This window comes from Homo sapiens, chromosome 1 (genome assembly GCF_000001405.40).
Source record: "Homo sapiens chromosome 1, GRCh38.p14 Primary Assembly".
Taxonomy (NCBI): Eukaryota; Metazoa; Chordata; class Mammalia; order Primates; family Hominidae; genus Homo; species Homo sapiens.
The window spans coordinates 215,149,077-215,167,469 of record NC_000001.11 but is presented as its reverse complement, the minus strand read 5'-3'; the positions used below and the strand labels follow the sequence as shown (position 1 = coordinate 215,167,469).

Here is an 18,393-nt window from a genome sequence, read left to right as displayed (position 1 = left end):
AGAAGTACATAGAGTACCTCTTTTGATCAGCAAACCTCTTACTGTCCTTCATATTAAATTAATTTGGAACTTTGATTTTAGTTATCTGTTACTCAAAAATGTGAGCAGATATTTTGGGATTGGTTTTTTTTTTTTGTCGTTGTTACTTTACTTTCCAGTTTAATGACCATTGTAGTTCAAAGATTATGGGCCGTGTGATTTTTACTTGTTGGAATCCATTGAGATTTTCCTTGTGGCTTTATTATGGTCAATTTTTGTATTTATTTCATTGTTATTTGAAAAGAAAATGAATGTTCTATTTGTCTGATACAAAAAGAACATGGAGTGAGGGTGAGCTAATGTTTAGTCACTTTAACCCACATATTTTCCCCTACAATATTTCCATCTTTCTCTTCCTCCTACTCAAACAGTTAGTCAATTCCGTGTTCATTGCTAGTCAACTCATCTACTGAGGGATTTGTTTTCAATGTATCTAATGTTCAAGAACTTTGACTTTTTTTTTCCATTAGCCTGTTCTTATGCCATGAAAATAATAATTATATTAATTTCTTTTTCAGTGTTGAACCACGTAGTAACTCAATTCCTTGAGAGAAATCCTACACTTTCTTTACTTAGGACAATTTCTACGAGTAGTTGAAAATTCCTGGTCATATCCTCATACTTGTAAGCAAAATACAATACTAGATTGGTTAGTATTTTAGTAGAAATTTATTTTCTAGCCTTAGTGGGAACCATGATTTTTCTGGTGGTATATGGAAGATTCTGGTTCAAGGAGCCCAGGCTGAAGTAGTGCTGGTGAAGGAGGGGAGACTGGAGTCTGGACTTTCATGTAGGAGTGCATTGTACAGGATTTCTGGGGACAGGTTCTCCCAATTCTCAAAGCAGCCACCAGTGTACAGCTGCCTTACTGTTTCTCAGGCCTGCTGCCTGCTCTGGGAATATCTGTAACACAGCTCTGTTTGGAAAACACAGCTTGATTCTGGAGGCAAAGACTGGAGGCAGCTACCAAAAAGTTAGGATTAGTGGTTCCACAGAACTTGAACTAATTTATAGGCTGACTGCCCTTGGACCCATTTCTGCTTTTAATTTTGGTGACTTTATGAAGTTCTCTTGGAAATTTTCATCTTTTGAATCCTCTGTTTTGCTTCTATGGGGGATGTGGGCTCCTCAACTCAAAAAGAGTTCATGGTCCCTCTGCATCGGTATGACTCATAACATCCCCAGATCCACTCCTGTTGTGTCAGTCACAATGCTTTCCCTGCCCTCGAGCACACTATGGAAATTTTCAATAATTATTTTTCTATGTCTCTGTCATCTCAATGCAACTTTTTGGTGATGTGAGGTAACTGCATGTTTACATAACAAGGAATTCAATATCTGAATTTACTGAAATCTTTTAAGATGTTAGATATCGATTATCTAACAAAAATTCCACGGTTTACAATAAGGCAATCACACATCATGTTGTTTAAAACCATTTTACGTTAGAGCCTAAAATTAACTGATTGAAAGATATCAGTCAAGAGAAAACCTAGCAAGAGTTTAGCAGTATATTATAGCCATTCCTGGAACCATCATTCCTTAGTTATGTGACCTTGGGCAAATTATTTCCTCATCTGTTAACAGGGCATATTGTTATTACATACTTCATTGAGTTTTAAGTCCTAAAATTAACTGATTGAAAGACATCAGTCAAGACAAAACCTAGTAACAGTTTAGCAGTATATTATAGCCATTCCTGGAACCATCACTCCTTAGTTACCTGGGCAAATTATTTCCTCATCTGTTAAAAAGGCATATTGTTACTACATACTTCATTGAGTTTTAAGTACCAAATAAAGTACTATGTGAAAAGTGCTTACTCTATTATACTATATGTGCTCAATATATGTTAGGTATGATAATAATTCTTATAATCACTATTAATAATAATATTTGTAGAAGCAAAGGTTAGAGGATCAGTGTATTTAGCCTCATCAGTATGCAAACTATTTAATAGCCAGGTTAATGCAGTCATGATTACACATTGTTCTTCCACTATGTTCTGAATGTTTTGTCAAATTATAGATGCCATTCTTTATAAGGGACAATGGCAAAATAGCATGCTGTATGCTAAGGCAACTTTTCACATATAAAAGTTGAAGGAATTGGAGGTGTTTGTGCTGAAGAAAAGAAGGCTGAGAGTAGAAAGATGCAGGCTAGCTGATTCCAACTATGTGAATGATTAAAACATGGAAAAGGAAACAGACCTATTCTGATGCTTCAAGGCAAAGAACAAATCAATTGGTGCAAGCTATGGAAAGCAAGCTCATGCTAAAGTAACTGTGGCCAAAATAGAGTAAAGGACTATAAGAGTCAGACAAAAGCCAGATAATCACTTGCAGTGTGTAATACTTTGGACTGATGGTCTTCTAGGATTCCTTATGATACAAAGTTGTAATGAATCAGTAGGCAAATGTACATGCATAGTAAGAGTAAGGTTCTCTAATATCTGCTTTTGCCATGGATTACAATTACTCATTCATACATTCAAAATTTTTTATTAAGCATCTACTATTTGCCAGGCACTCTGCTAAGCACTAGGGCTGCAGCTATGAAGTAGACAGACCTGATCTCTCAAGTTGACAATCCAGTGAGGACACCTGCAAGAGACTGATACAAACGTGTGATAAGTGTGTGCCACAGAAAGTACAGAATGTTCCTGATGCACAGGATGTAAGAGAATGAGACATGCTGCACACGATAAGTGACCCTGAAGCTGTGATCTGAATCTGAGTAGAAGTTACTCAGGTAGCATAAATAATGAAATTAAGACAGAAATAAATAAGTTCTTTGAAACCAATGAGAACAAAGACACAATGTACCAGAATCTCTGGGACACGGCTAAAGCAGTGTATAGAGGGAAATTTATAGCACTAAATGCCCACAGGAGAAAGTGGGAAAGATCTAAAATCAACACCCTAACATCACAATTAAAAGAACTAGAGAAGCAAGAGCAAACACATTCAAAAGCTAGCAGAAGACAAGAAATAACTAAGATCAGAGCAGAACTGAGGGAGATAGAGACACAAAAAACTCTTCAAAACATCAATGAATCTAGGAGGTGGTTGTTTGAAAAGATTAACTAAATAGACCACTAGCTAGACTAATAAAAAAGAAAAGAGAGAAGAATCAAATAGACACAATAAAAAATGATAAAGGGGATATCACCACTGATCCCACAGAAACACAAACTACCATCAGAGAATACTATAAACACCGCTACGCAAATACACTAGAAGATCTAGAAGAAACAGATAAATTCCTGCACACAGACACTGTCCCAAGACTAAGCCAGGAAAAAATCGAATCCCTGAATAGACCAATAATAAGTTCTGAAATTGAGGCAGTGATTAATAGCCTACCAATCGAAAAAAGTCCAGGACCAGACAGATTCACAGCCAAATTCTACCAGAGGTACAAAGAGGAGCTGGTACCATTCCTTCTGAAACTATTCCAAACAATAGAAAAAGAGGGACTCTTCCCTAACTCATTTTATGAGGCCAGCATCATCCTGATACAAAACCTGGCAGAGACACAACAACGCCAAAAAAAATTCAGGCCAATATCCCTGATGAACATCGAGGCAAAAATCCTCAATAAAATACTGACAAATTGAATCCAGCAGCACATCAAAAAGCTTATCCACCACGATCAAGTCGGCTTCATCCCTGGGATGCAAGTCTGGTTCAACATACGCAAATCAATAAACATAATGCATCACATAAACAGAAACAATGACAAAAACCACATGATTATTTCAACAGATGCAGAAAAGGCCTTCAATAAAATTCAACTCCCCTTCATGCTAAAAACTCTCAATAAACTGGATACCGATGTAACATATCTCAAAATAATAAGAGCTATTTATGACAAACCCACAGCCAATATCACACTGAATGGGCAAAAGCGGGAATCTCTCCCTTTGAAAACCGGCACAAGACAAGGATGCCCTCTCTCACCACTCCTATTCAACACAGTATTGGAAGTTCTGGCCAGGGCAATCAGGCAAGAGAAAGAAATAAAGGGTATTCAAGTAGGAAAAGAGGAAGCCAAATTGCCTCTGTTTGCAGATCACGTGATTGTATATTTAGAAAACTCCATCGTCTCAGCCCAAAATCTCCTTAAGTTGATAAGCAACTTCAGCAAAGTCTCAGGATATAAAATCAATGTGCAAAAATCACAAGCATACACCAATAATAGACAGAGAGCCAAATCATGAGTGAACTCCCATTCACAATTGCTACAAAGAGACTAAAATATCTAGGAATACAACTTACAATGGATGTGAAGGACCTCTTCAAGGAGAACTACAAACCACTGCTCAAGGAAATAAAAGAGGACACAAACAAATGGAAAAACATTCCATGCTCATGGATAGGAAGAATCAATATTGTGAAAATGGCCATACTGCCCAAAGTAATTTATAGATTCAATGCTATCCCCATCAAGCTACCATTGACTTTCTTCACAGAATTAGAAAAAACTATTTTAAATTTCATATGAAACCAAAAAGAAGCCCATATAGCCAAGACGATCCTAATAAAAAAAAAAAACAAACCTGGCAGTATCATGCTACCTGACTTCAAACTATACTGCAAGGCTATAGTAACCAAAACAGCATGGTACTGGTACCAAAACAGATGTATATATAGACCAATAGAACAGAACAGAGGCCTCAGATATAATGCCACACATCTACAACCATCTGATCTTTGACAAACCTGACAAAAACAAGCAATGGGGAAAGGATTCCCTATTTAATAAATGGTGTTGGGAAAACTGGCTAGCTATATGCAGAAAACTGAAACTGGACCCCTTCTTTACACCTTATACAAAAATTAACTCAAGATAGATTAAAGACTTAAACGTAAGACCAAAAACCATAAAAACCCTAGAAGAAAACCTAGGCAATACCATTCAGGACATAGGCATGGGCAAAGATTTCATGACTAAAACACCAAAAGCAATGGCAACAAAAGTCAAAATTGACAAACGGGATTTAATTAAACTAAAGAGCTTCTGCACAGCAAAAGAAACTACCATCAGAGTGAACAGGCAACATACAGAATGGGAGAAAATTTTGGCAATCTATCCATCTGACAAAGGGCTAATATCCAGAATCTACAGGGAACTTAAACAAATTTACAAGAAAAAAACAACCCCATCAAAAAGTGGGCAAAGGATATGAACATACACTTCTCAAAAGAAGACATTTATGTAGCCAACGAACACATAAAAGAAAGCTCATCATCACTGTTCATTAGAGAAATGCAAATCAAAACCACAATGAGATACCATGTCATATCAGTTAGAATGGTGATTGTTAAAAAGTCAGGAAACAGATGCTGGAGAGGCTGTGGAGAAATAGGAATGCTGTTACACTCTTGTTGGTACTGTAAATTAGTTCAACCATCGTGGAAGACAATGTGGTGATTCCTTAAGGATCTAGAACCAGAAATACCATTTGACCCAGCAATCCCGTTAGTGGTTATATGCCCAAAGGATTATAAATCATTCTACAATAAAGACACATGCTCATGTATGTTTATTGCAGCACTATTCACAATAGCAAAGACTTGGAACCAATCCAAATGCCCATCAATGACAAACTGGATTAAGAAAATGTGGCACATATACACCACGGAATACTATGCAGCCATAAAAAAGGATGAGTTCTTGTCCTTTGCAGGGATATGGATGAAGCTAGAAACCATCATTCTCAGCAAGCAACACAGGAACAGAAAACCAAACACCACATGTTCTCACTCATAAGTGGGAGTTGAACAGTGAGAACACATGGACACAGGGAGGGGAACATCACACACTGGGGCCTGTCGGGGGCTGGGGTGCTAAGGGGCCAGGGGAGGGATAGCATTAGGAGAAATACCTAATGTAGATGACTGGTTGATGGCTGCAGCAAACCACCATGGCACATGTATACCTATGTAACAAATCTTCATGTTCTGCACATGTATCCCAGAGCTTAAAGTATAATTAAAAAAAAAAAGACAGAGAGGGAGAAAGAGCAAGCCCCATAAAAAAAGTTTCCCAAGTAGCAGAAATAAGTAGGGTTCATGATAAGGCTGATGAACAATACATGTAAGTTCTTGGAGGAAAAATCAAAACGTAATCCAGCATCTCTGAGAAACTGAAAGAATTTCAGATGGTTAGAAAAGAGTGTGTGAGAGTTGCAGCAGATAAAGGAAGAAAAGAAAGCTAAAGCTAAATAATGAAGAATCATATCCATGCTCAATAGTTTGGGCTCTATCATGTAGGCTGACTGACCAATGCAAGACTTTTAGATGGATCCTATTACATGTTTATTCCGGCTATAAAGAGGAAGATGTTTATAGAGAGGCAAGAATAAAGAAGTGTCAAGTCCAGGTTCCGATATGAGTAATGGATGATCTCGGCAACATTTCTCTGAGACGGACACAATGAAAAATGACCAGGTCTGGGGGATACCAGGGTAGGATCAAGGAAGGTAAGAAAGATAACAAATTTGGAGTAGGTTGATTTTGATATGCCCAGAGGAATAATCAAAGGAGAGAGCCACAGAATATGGCATGTATAAGTCTGAAACCCAAGAGCAACCTGAACTAGATCTACAAATTATGGGGGAGATAAAACAACCAGGAGGAATGTACAGACTCAGAAGGAAAGAGAGCCTACGACAACATTCCAAAAAACACCAACACTTAAAGTGTAGAGATGGCAAAGAGGGCCCTCAAAGAGACTGGTTATAAAAGGATAAAGGGAAGTGAGTTGTTAGGAAAGTCACAGGAAGAGCAAGCTAAAAAAGAAGAGAATGATGAACATTACCAGCTATTTTTGAAAGGTTGAATAAGATCATCACTGAAGAATGTCTAATGATTTAGCAACAAATTGGGTATCAATGACGTCAGAAGTGGTCATTTCCATGGAGCAGTGGAAGGAGAAGCCATACAATAAACCTGTGCTCCTGGAGCCTGTTTTCTTTCTTCTCTGTTTCACCTTTTATTTTCAAAATATCTTTAACTCACAGAAAAGTTATAATTGTACACAGAACTCCTGTATATGCTTCCTGTACATGTTAATATTTTCCCACTTTGCTTTCGCACTCTCTCCACATCCAGACATTTCTTTTTTCTGAACCATTTTATAGTAAGCTGTAGACATCATGCCATTTTATCCCTTAGTTCTCTGCTGTGTTATTTCTTAAGAAAAACAGGGCTTTCTCTTAAGTAACCAAAGTACAATAATCAAATTCAGGAAAATTAACACTAATACAGTATTATCATTTAACTTACAGTCTACATTCAAATTCTTCCAACTGTCTTATTAATTCAAGATTATACATTGTATTTAACTGGCATATCTGTTTAGTTTCCTTTAATCTCCCAGAATAGTTCATAAACCTTCTTTCATCTTTTGTGATTTTTATGTTTTTGAAGAATGGAGGGCAGTTATTTTGTAAAATATTCCTTGATTTGAATCTGTCTGATACTTTCTCACAAATGGGTTTAAGTTATGCATTTGGGGCTGAAATACCACATCCTGCTCAGTGCATCACATCTGGGTATATATGATATTAGCTTGTCCTATTAAGATGATATTGACTTTGAGAACTTGGCTAAGGTAGGTCTGTAAGGTTTCACTACTGAAAAGTTACTTTTCTTTTCTTTTGCAATTAATAAGTTATTTGTAGGGAAACACTTTATGAGTATGTAAATATTATGTTCCTCAAACTTTTATGCACTAGTTATAGTATCAGGAAAAAACAAAAATGCAAATACTGCTAGAAAAGAACACATGAAGGGAAATAAAACCATAGGATAGTAAATAAGATGATAATCCTTTAAAATGCTCCCCAATTGTATTACATATATAGCAAGGATATTCTTCTTTAAAAATGTACTTTTCTATTTTAGGTAGTAGAAAAAACCCTATAACCGTCCGCCTCTGTCCCCAGTAGATCCTGATAGGGGAAAGAAGGAATTAGAGAAGACGCAAGTAAAATTCTTGTCCACCCAGTGTCTCCTCAATGGAACACAGCTTCAGAAATCTCCACAAATTGTAAACAATCCAGAAGTTCCTATATGCTCTGCGCAGAGGACAAGGAGAAGTTGAGAGCCCTGGAGTACAGAAGGGTGCCTAGAGTCAAGATGAAGAATCTGCCATGACTGGCACCTTGACACCTAGGAAAGTCTGGCAGGACCATGGGCTTTGATGTAAGGAGTCTCCGCACTTAACTCATTTGTCTCTTATCTGCTCTTATCCACTAATGCCTTGTAATGTTCTATAGCAGAGCAACATGCACAAATAATTCATCAGGGCAAGCATGACAAAGGCCTAGAAAGCTTGCATGAAGGTAATTTAAAGAAGAAAAAGGCCATCCCAAAGTTTAAGAAGTCAGGAAATGTTCAACTGACCTACTTGGGAGGGTGAACCATTTCTGTACATGATCCAAGAATAGAACTCTAGAACTCAACAACCTCTAACCCATCCTCTATTCTAACATCAATAAACTGAGTACCAAAAACTTGAAGGACTTGCCAAGTCAGCAGGGTGCACTATTTTGACATGGGTTCACTGATTATCTCAGAGTCCTGCTAAGATCCAACACTGTCCTTTATTGCCTTCTCCAGGTCAATAACTATGTGGCCTGGGGTAGGGCAGGCGTCTGAGTTATCCTATTTCATCCAATTCTTTTTTGTTTGTTTGTTTGTTTTTGCATAAGACGACAAATGTCTCTACAGTCATATTCATAAGACGTAACCTACCTCTAAGATGGCAAATGTCTTTAGAGTCATATTCATAAGAAGTAACCTACCTCCAGGAAGGATCAGGGAAAAAAATAAATAAAAGATACAACTTTGGTTTTATTTTTATCCTCCCTGTGGCATTGCTAGAAATAGGCTTTACTGTTTTAATAATAAAATCCTAGCTGTCAAGAGGACTTAATTTGATCTACCCCACGTAAGTTAAAAGAGCATAAGAAATGAGAACCCCAAGTTTACATCAATCACTGACTCAGATTTACCCTGGAGGCCGCTATGGAACATCCTCAGAAAATCTGTCAAAGAATGTCCTCAGGAAGTCTATTTACATCACCTATAAAATGGCCCAAAATCCAAAGAGAATTCTAGATGTTAGGATAGCCAATCTACCTTTCACTGACCACAAAATGGAGACAAGTCCCTTGTCTGGATGTGGGACAAGTCCCTTGTCTGTCTCTATGACAGACAACAGAAGAGAGACCTAAGAGAGGAAGAATGAGGGATCCTGATAGAACCCTTCTCTGAACATTCTCTGCTTCACTTGTCAAATATTTCTTTAGCCGCCATTATACAGAACTCTAAAGCTGAATCTGTGTCTTGGAGGAGGCATCCCTCACAGAGTGATTACTCCCCATGGCACCAAAAAGGTGACTTGGCAGTTTTTCAACACAAAGGGCTTAATTAGAGCTCCCTCATCCATTCTCCTGGTGACCCAATCAGGTGGTTCTTTAGAGAAGGCTTCCTGATGCTTTCTTCCCTCTCTTCCCTGTGTACAATGAAAGTAGACTTCCCTCCACAGATGTACCACAGGTTCTAACCAATGAATACAGACACTAATTAAATGATGTGATATTGTTAACGGATTTATAGGCATCAAATGAAAGATGTCCATTGACTATAAGCGGTAGAGTAGACTGAGCTTTCTAAAATATTAATATTTTTAATTGTCTGGACTCCTGATCCTTTCCCTGGTCAATCAGCAGCATCTTCATTGCCTTAAGTAAAATAGTACTATCACAGCAAGAAGAAAAATGGGCAGAAAAGTATTAAATTTTGTTTTAACTCTTAAAATAAGGTATTCATACTCAAAATGTTTCCCTTGAGGAAAGTAAAGCTTTCAGTTTATGGCATAATATATGCATAACAAGAGAGTGGAAGGAATGGCAGTCATTCTGGCTTCCAAAGAGCTTGAGGAATAGAGAAGATTGCAGATTAATGACGCATAATCTTCAAGGAGGTGGGGAGGGGCAGTGGCCAGAGGACTGAACCTTGGATCTGGTAGGGAGAAGGGGTTTAATACTACAGCTGGCTTAGCAGCTGTTTGGGGGGCTCTAATCATGCATTTGTGTCAGAAAACTGCTAGGTCACTTCTTTTTGTGCCTTGGGGAGTGGTCACCCCGTGAGGGATATCTCCTCTGAGACAGATTCAGCCTTAAAGCTCAGTATAATGGTGGCTAGAGAAATCTCTGAAGGAATTCTGCATGACGGCTTGAAATTATCTTTAATAGATGATATGGTTTTGCTCTGTGTCCCCACCCAAATCTCATCTCCAATTACACTCCCCAAGTGTCAGAGGAGGGGCCTTGTGGGAGGAAAATAAATTTCTGGGGTTTTTTTGAGACAGAGTTTTGCTCTTGTTGCCCAGGCTGGAGTGCAATGGTGCAATCTCGGCTCACTGCAACCTCCACCTCCCAGGTTCAAGTGATTCTCCTGCCTCAGCCTCGCGAGTAGCTGGGATTACAGGCACGAGCCACCACACCCAGCTAATTTTGTATTTTTAGTAGAGATGGGGTTTCAACATGGGGGTGGACTTTCCCCTTGCTGTTCTTGTGATAGTAAGTTCTCATGAGATCTGATGGTTTAAAAGTGTGTTGCACTTGCCCCTTTCTCTATAGCTCTCTCCTGTTGCACCATGGTAAGACATGCTTGTGTCCCCTTCACCTCCGCCATGACTGTAAGTATCCTGAGGCATCCCAGTCATGCTTCCTGTTAAGCCTGCATAACTGTGAGTCAATTAAACCTCTTTTCTTCATAAATTACCCAGTCTCAGGTAGTTCATTATAGCCATATGAGAATGGACTAATACAGTAGAAATATTTGTTCCACAGAAATTGGCAAGCTCTGTAATTTAGATCTTTTTCCCCATCAGCCAGCTAACATTTACCAACACATTACAGAGTCAAATGTAGGGGACTGCAGGCAGTCTGTGCCAAAGAGCTGGATGGATGCCAAGCCAAGGCCTCTGGAATTTAGATGAGTATATCACACAGAAAAGTTAGTATTTCTTTTTCACATCACTTTCAAGGAAGGCCTTCATGGACAGCTATTGTTAAGTTCACTGCAAGCGGCAAGGGGATCATCTAACAGGAGGCCTGCATATGCTGCTCCTGGCTGAACAGTCTCAAGTGAACAGGCATTTTTATGATCAGAACTTAATAACACCACAAATAAATAAAATTCCCATCAATACTGTGTACTTTGTAATTATATACTTATTTGCAACAGTTCATTTTAATGTCTATCTTCCCTACTCAAATTTGAGCTCCGTGAGTGTAGAGACTGATTGATTACATTATATATATATATACACACACACACACACACACAGACTACCTATAATATATCTACAAATATATACACACACACATAATTTTTCATAATGATAACTCCAGAACTTTGCATGAGTACTTCCTTATTAACTAATGGATAATTGACAATCAATAAATATTCTTGACTGATTGACACGCAAATATAAACACCTCAAGATACTTTAGAGAGTGGGTATAGTAAAAGAAAAACTTAGTGAAATACAGTGTTTCTTTGTGGGAACTCACTAAAAAATTAAATCTCGGCCTGGCGTGGTGGTTCATGCCTGTAATCCCAGCACTTTGGGAGGCCAAGGCGGGTGGATCATAAGGTCAAGAGATGGAGACCAACCTGGCCAACATGGTGAAACCCCATCTTTACTAAAAAATACAAAAATTAGCTGTGTGTGGTGGTGCATGTTTGTAGTCCCAGCTACCTGAGAGGCTGAGGCAGGAAAATCACTTGAACCCAGGAGGCAGAGGTTGCAGTGAGCCGAGATCGCGCCACTGCACTCCAGCCTGGCGACAGAGCAAGGCTCGGTCTCTAAATAAATAAATGAATGAATAAATAAATAAATATCTTCCTGAATAAGTAACAAATTTACTATCTTTGCAACAAAAATTCGTAGTTTTAAAAATTATATAATTTAATGAAATTATTCTAAAATCCATCTGGAATAAAATGAATAATAATAGTCAATAAATATTTAAAAGGAACACTAATAGGAGATAAAGGTTGCTTCCAAATTATAAAGATGTTATCAACAGTTTTAAAAATTAAGTTATGAAGCAAATTAATGAATGAAAACAATATAAAGCATAAAAAGGACTCCAGTATGTAAATGAATTTAATATTTGATAAATATGATATTCTAAGTCATTTTAAAAGAGTTGATTATTCACTAAATAGTGATGGGGAAAGTAGTAGGCTACTTCAAAATAAACTGTGTCTTTATCTCACATTATACACTAAATATTATCAGATGGATTAAATCATCAAATATTTAAAAACATGACTGTAAAATATTATGAAAAAAGGACAAGAGAATAATTCTTTAAATGTAACTACTAGGTAAGAGCCATAAAGAAAACAAAGGATAAATATGAATACTAAAAATATAACAGTGCTGGTACCAAAACAGACATACAGGCCAATGGAACAGAATAGAGACCTCAGAAATAGCACCACACATCTACAACCATCTGATCTTCGACAAATCTGACAATAAAAGAAATGGGGAAGGATCGCCTATTCAATAGATGGTGCTGGGAAAACTGGCTAGCCATATGCAGAAAACTGAAACTGGACCCCTTCTTTACACCTTATACAAAAATTAACTCAAGATGGATTAAAGACTTAAACGTAAGACCAAAAACCATAAAAACCCTAGAAGAAAACCTAGGCAATACCATTGAGGACATAGGCATGGGCAAAGATTTCAAGACAAAAATGCCAAAAGCAATTGCAACAAATACCAAAATTGACAAATGAGATATAATTAAACTAAAGAGCTTCTACACAACAAAAGAAACTATCATCAGAGTGAACAAGCAACCTACAGAATGGGAGGAAATTTTTGCAATCTACCCATCTGACAAAGGTCTAATATCCAGAATCTAAAATGAACTTAAACAAATTTACAAGAAAAAAAAAAACCCATCAAAAAGTGGGCAAAGACACTTCTCAAAAGAAGACATTTATACAGCTAACACACATATGAAAAAAAGCTCAACATCACTGACCATTAGAGAAATGCAAATCAAAACCACAGTGAGATACCATCTCATGCCAGTCAGAATGGCGATTATTCAAAAGTCAAGAAACAATAGATGCTCACAAGGCTAAGGAGAAATAGGGACACTTTTACAGGTTGGTGAGACGGTAAATTAGTTCAACCATTGTGGCAGACAGTGTGGCGATTCCTCAAGGATGTAGAATCATAAATTAACATTTGACCCAGCAATTCCATTACTGGGTATATATCCAAAGGAATATAAATCATTCTACTATAAAGACACTTGCACACATATGTTTATTGCAGCATTATTTACAATAGCAAAGTCATGGAACCAACCCAAATGCCCATCAATGATAGACTGGATAAAGAAAATGTGGTACATACATACCATAGAAACTATGCAGCCATTAAAAAGGAATGAGATCATGTCCTTTGCAGGAACATGGATGAAGCTGAAAGCCATCATTCTCAGCAAACTAACACGGGAACAGAAAACCAAACACATGTTCTCACTCATAAGTGGGAGTTGAACAGTGAGAACACATGGACACGGGGAGGGGAACAGCACACACCAGGGCCTGTTGGAGGGTGGGGAGTGAGGGGAGGGAATTTTAGAGGACAGGTCCATAGGTGCAGCAAACCACCATGGCACACGTATACCTATGTAACGAACCTGCACGTTCTGCACACGTATCCCGGAACTTAAAGTAAAATTTAAAAAAAATTAAATTAGACTTTAAAAAGAGATGTCAGAGAAAAAAAAATATATATATATATATAACAACGCTATATATCGAAAGAAGAACGTAAACAGCATGCAAAGGCCTAATGATTTTGCCAAGAGACAGTAAAGAAAGACCCAGACATCTCTGTAATTGGTCCTACCAGGACTCTTTTTGATCAAAAAGCTAAGCTTTCATTTCATTTTCAGGACTGAAGATGGCCCAGATCCATCATGTTTGCACTTGTGATTTGAGATATTCTCCTAATTTAGTCTTCCACCACAGTTATTTAAACCTTGGATCGTGACTTAAGAATATACCTAGTTACTGAGAAATTTCAGACACCCATAATGATAAATTGACAAACCCCACATACGTTTTTGTTTATGTTTACTTGGGATACTTAATGAAAGCCTATCAAATAGCTGACTTTTACAAACAAGTTCACCTCCACTGAAAGATGTCAGGCTAAACTTGTAGTAAGCAACACTTTTGGATAATAGCAGCCTTTCTACCCTCTATGTGAGATTTACTGAAATTAAGTCACAGAGTTAAACTGTTTAGACTTGTTGGGTGCAGTTTATATACTCTGGATTGAAGAGTTCTATTTGACTAATAGGAAGTTCCTGAAAATCTTGAATCTCTTAGCCAGCTTCAAATGTGGAGGCAGTAGTTTATTGTTACATTTATTGACAATAGTAATGATAAAAGCAACAATAAATTAAAATTGCGTTGGTATAGACCCTTCTAGAATTAAACACATTTTTAAAAACATGTAAGTAACTCTGACTAAACATGTGGGAGGTAGAACTCTATTACTCCAATCTCATGGAAAGAAATTTTAGATAAGAAAAAAAGTGCATACTATTATGTTACTCTATATCATAAAGTACTAAGCTATACATAGAAACAAATCAAATATCACTACAGCAATCAATAAGATTTCTGTTCAATTAAAAAATTTTCATTGAATACCACTTGCCAATCACCATGCTAGTTACTGAGGAAACTCAGATGAAGAAACTGCTGATACAAAATTTTCAAAATTAATAGTAAAATCAGCTAAATATGCCACCCACTGGCTTTTCTTTATACCATTAATGAAGGCACACAAAGAGACAAAGATTTACTACACTGAAAACCAGGGAAGACAGCATGCATATGAGAAACATTCTCATTAAAACACTGCACTTAAATAGCTGGGACAGTATAATTTTGGGCTCCTGATGACTGTGATCTCTGAAACTCAAGAGCAAGCCAACTAGGAAGTGGAGAGGAAACTGTTTTTGCATTTCTCTACTATCAGTTGTGGTGCATTTTCTGGTAGTGCCATATGTCTCATTTTCTCTACCTCCATCATAATTTATCCCTAAGTTAGTTCTACTAAAATGTTCTATCTACTCAGAGGCCACACGGCTCTCAGTATGCAGCATTTAGGCACTGAGAGTAGAACAAATTCAAGACAAGCCTTGAAATAACTCCATACTGGGACAAAAAATGTTAATGTACTATATCAGGGAATTCTGCAAGGATCTAAGGATAAATGAGGAGTGAGGAGTTAAAGGAGTGTGAACAAAAGAATGGAACAAAAGCCATCCTACTCAACATAAGCCTCTAAACAAAAAGTCCATGAATAAATCAAATGCTTACAAAGGTAAATACAATCAACACTTAGAAGAAGAATTACTGTAAATGAGAATAATTTCATGAAGTAATGGACAAGAGTTAAAAAGATGTAGACGTTCAATAAGTAAGGTAAGCATGGTTAGGCTAAAATTCCTGGGTTCTTATTCCCCACACTACAACATTCCTACACTCCCAGAAATAACCATCACAAATATAATAAAAAACAAACAAAAAAACCTCAACAGCAACAAAGATTTATAAGAATAAATACAATAATATGAAAGTACTGTATGGATAAAATTACAAACGAAAGTTCCAAAATGAATGACATAAAAAAAGACCTGGAGGAATGAAGAGGTATCAATTTTTATCAAATCTATGCATAAATATAATGCACTTTACAATAAATATTTTGGAATTGTTTTTAGTGGAACTTCATGAACTTATATAAAAATCATCTATAAATGTTTTTAAAATGGACAAAAAATAATGAAGTCAAAAGATTTGCCTTACATGATATCAAGATTCACATTAGCAATTAAAAAGCAATATGATTAAGACAATATGGTATTGGACAGGGTACTGAACAGAGAGAGGCAGACCAATCCAAAAGAATAAAGAGCTCAGAAACAGAACTAAACATATTTGCAGGCATCAGATTCTACCAAAATTAGGAGGATGAACTAACCAATGAATAAGGGTGGCCTACTCAATGAGATTGGAAGGGCCTTCAACTGTCTATATTGTGTTTTGTTCAATAATAACAACAAAACAGCATGAAGCAATGTTAACATCTGATAAAGGTAGATGTGCAATATTTTTTTCTCTAGACACTTCTACACATTTGAAATATTAACCAATAGCAAAATAATGAGAGAAAAGAATACCTATAAATATATTACATTTATAGATCAAGAAGACATTGGACAATAGTCTGTACTACTTCTTTTATTTCTTTAAAAACTAGAAATATAAAATTATTTTATCATGACAAAGAATATCTATCTCAAAGTATTTAATATCATATTCAATATTACAGCACAACTGGATGAATTCTCTTAAAATCAGGAAAAATGATATCCATTTTACAACTATTTTTATCATTACTCTGAAAGTTCTAGCAGGTATAATGAAAGAAAAGAAATAAAAATATAATTATTTTAAAGAAGGAGACAAATATATTAGTTGTGCGTGGAATTAAATACCTAGTAAATAAAGGAGAATATTGAAAATTGAATAAAGAAAATTGGAAGATGAATAAAGAAAAGCTTAGTAAAATAGCTGAATGCATGATTAAAATATGGAAAACAACATCATTATAATATTTTAGCATTATCTTAAATGTGCTAAGTGAAATGGAAAAATATTTATTCATGATATTAAGGGAAATATAAAAATTACCTAAAAGTAATCGTTGTAAGTTATATGCAAGAATTTTAGAGAACAGCTTGAGCTAGTGTAGAATGGGATGAAATGAAGCAGAAAAGAACAGAATAAGGTCAGAAATGCTGCATACTAATTTTTAAACGTATCATTACATTTAAAAACATCACAAACGTTGGAAATTAAACAATTATTCAATTAATAGTGATGGAGAAATTGATTACTCTTTCAGAGAAAAAAAATTCACCCTATGTGAAAACAAGCAACAGGCAAAATACACATAAGATAACAAATAGAATACAAATAAGTTAACCAAACCGAAATATTTCCCTATTGGTCCCCTCTGATTATGTTACTTTCCTTGCTTCAAATGCACATTCTCCCATGCCCCCTGCTCTTACCTGGCTCATGCCTAAGAATTATTTTGTTGTTACTTGGGTTAGATATCAATTCTCCAAGAAGCCATCTTTAAGCCCTCAATACATAGTCCCAAGACTGGATCTGAACCCCTCCTGCATGCAGGGTTCCCTTTACTAAGACTGATCTTACTAGATCATAACGATCAGTTCTATAATCAGAAGTTCCGTAAGGTCAGGGGCCATGTTTTAGTCATCATGATAGCCCTGGTATTCCCACTGGATATCTAAACAATACCTAAATGCTTCCTAAAGTTATCTTCCTACAGTCTATGCTTCGTGGTAGCCCTCTCTTCATTCTACTCAGGCAGTCTCTCATCTTGAATGTTGAGGTTTTCAAGAATACCTGATAAAGTTTCAGAGTGTGGACCTAATTGTCAAACAGCTTTTCAATGTGGCCTTCACTGAAATGGTGGGGTTAAGAAAAATATTACATGAAGATATCCCACTAGTGACTCCTGATTATCTTTCAAAATCTCTTCTGCACATGAGTTTTATCTGCACTTCGTACTTATTGAGTTAACTTCTGATTAGCATGCTTCCTTTAAAAATAATCGTACTAGCTTATTTCATGTTCCTCCCTTTAGTAATTCAGAGTTTTGACCTTAGCGAAAGGCTAGCAGATAACTATGGCCATAACTCACTTTGTCTTGCCATTCTTTGTTAGTGACCTTTTTCTTTAACACCTCATGGGTTGCATTACAACACTTTCTTCATAAAGTATCTTTTCATAGAAGATTGTCTCTTCTCCAGCATCCCTATGCCCACTGACAGATGTGCCGAGGAAGTCTCCTAACTCTGTGTGCTCTGGGGAATACCTTAATCTTTTCCTTCTCCCGAACACTCATGGCATCTATCACCACCATTTGATTATGTTTAAATAACATAAATTGTCACCACAGGGCCAGAGCTCCTGAATCTCACTCATCCTCAGACGACAGAAGGCTTTGTAGGCAATGAGGCAGACCTCCTTACCACCACAACCCCTCCATTCTCCTTCCCTGCTTCCTAGCAGTTCCACCGCCACTACCTCAAAGCATTAAAACAGCCTGTCTGTGTTTTTTCTCACACAAATCCATCTCCTAATAACCAACTCTTTCTAAAGCGCAGCTTCAGTTTTG

General features: G+C 36.8%; 1 protein-coding gene across 7 annotated transcripts in view, besides 1 other annotated feature; it reads right to left on the bottom strand.

Moving 5' to 3' along the window:
• KCNK2 (potassium two pore domain channel subfamily K member 2) overlaps positions 1-18,393 on the bottom strand; it is a 231,549-nt gene that overhangs the window by 69,621 nt on the left and 143,535 nt on the right. The window lies entirely within an intron of this gene.
• Positions 15,179-15,716: an enhancer, noted in NCBI's record as "NANOG hESC enhancer chr1:215325097-215325634 (GRCh37/hg19 assembly coordinates)". NCBI's record gives its function as "activates a minimal SCP1, AML or CMV promoter by ChIP-STARR-seq in primed H9 embryonic stem cells {active_cell/tissue: H9 hESC(primed)}" and the evidence as "EXISTENCE:reporter gene assay evidence [ECO:0000049][PMID:30033119]".